At 49.6% G+C, this 5,647-nt stretch overlaps 4 annotated features.

The window, feature by feature from the left end:
- Window positions 3,423-4,085: an enhancer, noted in NCBI's record as "OCT4-NANOG-H3K27ac-H3K4me1 hESC enhancer chr3:196392298-196392960 (GRCh37/hg19 assembly coordinates)". NCBI's record gives its function as "activates a minimal SCP1, AML or CMV promoter by ChIP-STARR-seq in naive H9 embryonic stem cells {active_cell/tissue: H9 hESC(naive)}" and the evidence as "EXISTENCE:reporter gene assay evidence [ECO:0000049][PMID:30033119]".
- Window positions 4,086-4,748: an enhancer, noted in NCBI's record as "OCT4-NANOG-H3K27ac-H3K4me1 hESC enhancer chr3:196392961-196393623 (GRCh37/hg19 assembly coordinates)". NCBI's record gives its function as "activates a minimal SCP1, AML or CMV promoter by ChIP-STARR-seq in naive H9 embryonic stem cells {active_cell/tissue: H9 hESC(naive)}" and the evidence as "EXISTENCE:reporter gene assay evidence [ECO:0000049][PMID:30033119]".
- Window positions 4,134-4,428: a silencer, noted in NCBI's record as "tiled region #363; K562 Repressive DNase unmatched - State 8:EnhW". NCBI's record gives its function as "represses a minimal TATA promoter and a strong SV40 promoter by Sharpr-MPRA in K562 cells {active_cell/tissue: K562}" and the evidence as "EXISTENCE:reporter gene assay evidence [ECO:0000049][PMID:27701403]".
- Window positions 4,749-5,410: an enhancer, noted in NCBI's record as "H3K27ac-H3K4me1 hESC enhancer chr3:196393624-196394285 (GRCh37/hg19 assembly coordinates)". NCBI's record gives its function as "activates a minimal SCP1, AML or CMV promoter by ChIP-STARR-seq in naive H9 embryonic stem cells {active_cell/tissue: H9 hESC(naive)}" and the evidence as "EXISTENCE:reporter gene assay evidence [ECO:0000049][PMID:30033119]".

Genomic DNA, 5,647 nt, shown 5'->3' on the forward strand with positions numbered 1-5,647 from the left:
TGCAGCTTGTGTTTTTTTTTATTGTTCCTTGGTTTCCCTTGGATTATTTTGTAGTGTCCTCCCCTTGGTGACATCCATGGAGCCGAGGGTAGCAATTCAATGCAACCTACTGGAAAAAGAACTCCAAGAGCAGGTGCTAGAGATGGTGAGTCAGTGCCCTGGGGACTCAACAGGGACAAGGATTTCATAGCAGGACGACGACACAAGGATTTCATAGCAGGACGACGACAACAAAGCATTTCAAAGCACAGCTGGAGGGTCTGACATAAGATCATAAGATGAGGCCTCTCACCTGCTGCGTGACTGGCCACCGCCGTCAGAACGGTCCTGTGATCCTAGCACTTTGGGAGGCTGAGGCGGGTCACCTGAGGTCAGGAGTTCGAGACCAGCTTGGCGAACATGGTGAAACCCCGTCTCTACTAAAAATACAGAAATTAGCCGGGTGTGGTGGCGGGCGCCTGTAATCCCAGCTACTTGGGAGGCTGAGACAGGAGAATTGCTTGAACCCAGGAGGCGGAGGTTGCAGTGAACCGAGATCACACCACTGCACCCCAGCCTGGGCGATGGAGCAAGACCCCGTCTCAAAAAATAAACAAATAAATAAAATAATGGACCTCTAGCTGGGCCCTCTCCAGGTGCCCTGGCTTCATACCCGGAGTCTCTGGCAGACAGACATGACTCTTCCATGGAGAAACCAAGAGAATAATAACTGGCCCCGAGTTTATCCAGTCAGTAAGCCGACTGCCAGAGACAGTCCTCGTTCTGAAGGGAAGTAAAGAGGAATGCAGAAAGGAATGAATTCTGCTCACTTGTGAACCCTCCTAACTCTTCACAAAAAATTGCTTACAACTTCATAGCAGATGTTCAGTATCTGTATTCACTAGATTCTTAGCTTCCCTTCTCCCTCTGTTCAATGACTAACGAACAATGTCTGTGCTCCTCTCTGAGAGAAAAGATAACAAGGACACAGCCCCCGTCCTCTGGTAGTTTAGAATTTACACTGTCCTCAAAGTTTTTAATCCCTGCTTACTAAATCATAAAGGAATTAAACGCAATGGGGGAGGGATGGGGAGGGAGAGAGGCTAGAAATCCCACAAACTGATAGCTATTACCATGCAGACTAACTGTCAGCAGAAATATTTAGGCAAATCAAAGAGATAAAATCAGTGGTCTTACTCTGACACAGCAGAAACTTCCCTTGGATGCTCTACAGAGGTTTGAACAAGGCCATCTCAGGCCCCACATTCAGTAGCGTTAGCGGCAGGTCCTGTTAGGCTTTGCCATCTCAGGCCCCACATTCAGTAGCGTTAGCGGCAGGTCCTGTTGGGCTTTGCCCTTGCTATGACCCCACCGTTCCCTCCTGCACTGCGCCCAGCCTAGTGTCGTGGATGTCTCTCAGGTTGCCTTGAAGCCTTCCGGGCAAGTCCCATCAGCCAACGCAACATCAGACCAGACTCTCCTGATTTCCTCTCCCCATCAACAAAACCCTTCTCTGGGGTCCTGCTGTTTCCTAATGTGAACACTAGCTAATTAGACAAATGCATCTATCTGTGGCTGGTGCACTGACGGCTTCTCTTGAGTTAATGCGTCACCTCTGGTATCCATCAGTGTTCTTAGTCTCATGCAACTGAAGACGGTTCTGTCTGATTTAAGTAGCTTACGCATTTAGTAAGAGAATATTAGTAAGCTCTGGACTCTCGGGAAGGCTGAGGAACAGGCTTGGAAAATGGGCAGGAACAGAAGATGCTGTGTAGCAATTGGGACCAGCTGGTCTCGAACTCCTGACCTCAGCCCAAACCATGCCATGAGCAGTAACTGTGGGAGCATGGCTGCAGCCACCCCTGCCACCTTCTGCTGAAATAAATGCTCCCCAAATTCTGCTGCATCGCCAGCTCCTGACCGTGGTCATGTGCCCCTGCCCTGAGTACAAGAAGGACTGGCACGGCAATGCTGTACCCCTTGGCGAGGTGTCTATGGCAGAAGATAGGCTCCGTGTCCTCCAAATTCTTATGAGGGGGCAGAGTTCTTGAAACCTAAGAAAGGAAGTGAGACGTTGAGCAAACAAAATGAATGAAAAGTAAGTCCCGTATCCTTTTATGGCTGCATGTACATTTTATTTATTTATTTATTTATTTATTTATTTATTTATTTATTAGCCTGAGTCTCGCTTTGTTGCCCAGGCTGGAGTGCAGTGGCGTGATCTCTGCTCACTGCAACCTCTGCCTCCCAGGTTCAAGCGATTCTCCTGCCTCAGCCTCCTGAATAGCTGGGACTACAGGCGCCCGCCACCACACCCAGCTAATTTTTGTATTTTTAGTAGAGACACGGTTTCACCATGTTGGCCAGGCTGGTCTTGAACTCCTGGCCTCAGGGTGATCCGCCCACTGTGGCCTCCCAAAGTGTTGGGATTACAGGCGTGAGCCACCGCGCCCAGGCAGCGTGTACATTTTAGCAGGCAACTTCTGGAAGCAAATTCTTAGCACAAAGAAATGACTCAAATGATGGAAACTTCAGACAGAAACTCAGGGCAGTCGGGGAGATAGTTTGGGGTTCAGCAGGACTTTTGAAGCCCCTCAAGTCACACCATGTAGCTGACCACCCACTCTTTCTGTTCTTGGGGTCCAGCCCGGGAGGATGACAAATTGAGCCCCAGCCCTGCCTGTGACTGTGACTTTAGAAGGCTGTGGGCTTTCCTTCCTAGTGTTTTCCATCACAAGGATCCAAAGGTGATTTCCTGCCGGGTGCGGTGGCTCATGCCTATAATCCCAGCACTTTGGGAAGCTGAGGTGGGTGGATCACCTGAGGTCAGGAGTTCGAGACCCGCCTGGCCAATATGGTGAAACCCCATCTCTACTAAAAATACAAAAATTAGCTGGGCGTGGTGGCGTGTGCCTGTAGTCCCAGCTACTCGGGAGGCTGAGGCAGGAGAATCGCTTGAACCTGGGAGGCGGAGGTTGCAGTGAGCAGAGATGGCGCCACTGTAGTCCAGCCTGGTCGACAAGACAAAATTCCGTCTCAAAAAAAAAAGGATGATTTTCTAGGTTTCTCTCAGTATGCGGAAAGTTACATAGGGAAGGTGCTTTCTGCCTTCAGTGCTCAGCTATGGTTCCCCCAGCAAATTCTGTCCCCTTTCCCTGCTTCTCCCACTCCGACCTGGACCCATAGGAGAACCTACTGGCGAGGGAAGGACCCACAAAGCCTGTTACCAGAGTTCTTCGGTGGGGCCAGAATGGTGTCTGCCTAAGAGCTCCCATTCAGCCAGGTGGGGCACCACGTGGTTCTTCCTCAGTGGGTGGGCAGTAGGGGGCCATTTCCGGTTGCCACATGCCAGAATATTCACACAGGAGGATATTCAGAATCACAGATAAATCATGTCAGAGACTGGTCTGTGAACATGAGTAACAGTAACTTAGATTTTGGAAATCCAGTCATAAAACAAAAGCTGAAGGTTTTTCTGGAGGCATTTAAGTTAGGGATCAATTGATTTTTTTCCGTTCTTTCTTTTTTTGAGATGGAGTCTTGCTCTGTCACCCAGGCTGGAGTGCAATGGCGCAATCTCGGCTCACTGCAAACTCCGCCTCCCGGGTTCAAGCGATTCTCCTGCCTCAGCCTCCTGAGTAGCTGGGATGACAGGTGCCTGCCACCACGCCCAGCTAATTTTTGTATTTTTAGTAGAGATGGGGTTTCACCATGTTGGCCAGGCCGGCCTCGAACTCCTGACCTTGTGATCCGCCCGCCTCGGCCTCCCACAGTGCTGGGATGACAGGCTGAGCCACGGCGCCTGCTGATTTCTTTTTTTAAACGACCCCAGTTGCAAGCAATTGGACAAACTCTAATCCTTGGTTTGTATCACTGGTCATATCACTTTTTATTTATTTAATGTGCCAGATAACTTCCATTTGCCCCTCCAGATCTACTTCCCACTCTTTTCCACCCTGCCCCAGGAGGCTGGCCTCAATGGGCTCCCTTGCCCTTTGGCTTCCAGTGGTATTTGGCTAAGAAGGAGGTTTGGCAAATCACAGGGGAGGAAGAAAGTGAGGTCAGAGTATTTATTCTCCTGACTCCTCCCTGTAGATTTGTCTCAAACTGGCTGCACCTATCAACCAAACTCACACTCGTCTCAAGGCGGCTCTTTGCACACGAATCTCTGCCTTAGGTATCTAGGAACCACTCACTCCCCTGGCTCTCTTCTCTGGGCCTAGCATGGGTAACAGCTCTGCCTCACCAGCTCGTGTAATTGCATTATCCTTTGCGGTTTGCCCTCCCCTCTCCACCGCTTTGTGAATCGTCCCTTTGTAAATCCTCCTGACTTGTCCTTGTTTGAACGTGCCATCTGGTTCCTGCTGGGTCCCTGCATGACGCAGCTGGCTACTCATTTAGTAATCCTGAGCCCGAGAGATTCCAGCACTTGTGTCAGGGAGCCACAGAGTGCTAAGGATGCGCGGCCAGCGCTAGGAAAGCAAATCTCCCGAAGATGGAGTCCCCTGATTTCCATGGAGTCCATGCGTGGACATGAGGAAGAAGGTGGACATGAGGAAGATGGCACGCCTCAGTGTGTTACAAACATATTCATATTTTACCCAAATTAGAGTGGGAGAAGTTTCCAGCCTTGGAGACCTTCTTTAAAAGAGTGTGGGTGTTGCAATGACCAAAGCAAACAGATGATGGAGCTGGGGAAAAAAAAAGTGTTATTTAAAAAAATCCTTCTCGGCCGGGTGCAGTGGCTCATGCCTATAATCCCAGCACTCTGGAAGGCTGAAGCAGGCGGATCACCTGAGGTCAGGAGTTTGAGACCAGCCTGCCCAACATGGCGAAACCCCGTCTCCACTAAAAATACAAAAAATTACCCGGCGTGGTGGCACATGCCTGTAATCCCAGCTACTGCGGGGGCTGAGGCAGGAGGATCTCTTGAACCCGGGAGGCGGAGGTTGCATTGAGCCAAGATCGTGCCACTGCACTCCAGCCTGGGTGACAAGAGCGAAACTGTGTCTCAAAAAAACAAAAACGAAAAACAAAAAAAAACACTTCTCACCAACTAGTCATCTTCTATTTCATCCTCATCAACAAGTACCAAGCACTTATTTTGTGCTAAGTGCTTTATGTGGATAATTTCGCTTAATCTTGGAGAAAACTCTAGGCTGAGAGCGCTTAAGATTTGTTCAAGGTGGCTGGGCGTGGGGGCTCATGCCTGTAATCTCAGCACTTAGGGAGGCCATGGTGGGAGGATCACTTGAGGGTAGGATTTTGAGACCAGCCTGGGCAACAGAGCAAGACCCCATCTCTACAAAAAAATACAAAAATTAGTCAGGCATGGTAGCATGCGCCTGCAGGCTCAGCTACTCGAGAGGCTGATCACTTGAGCCCAGGAGGTGGAAGCTGCAGGGAGCCACGATCGCACCATGGCACTCCAGCCTGGGCAATAGAATGAGACCCTCTCTCAAAAAAAAAAAAAAAAAAAAAAAAAAAGATGATTTGCCCAAGAACTGTGGTGAAGATGTTAACATTACGCAAAGAAGAGCAAACAGCATCAACAACTTGTCATCTTTATCAAGTCTATCAGACTGTCAGCCGATAGTGGTTAGTGGCTGCGGAACAGCACGTTTGCTAATGAAATGGCAGACGTGGAGAAGGTTCGTATGGGGTACAG

Source organism: Homo sapiens, chromosome 3, assembly GCF_000001405.40.
Source record: "Homo sapiens chromosome 3, GRCh38.p14 Primary Assembly".
Taxonomy (NCBI): Eukaryota; Metazoa; Chordata; class Mammalia; order Primates; family Hominidae; genus Homo; species Homo sapiens.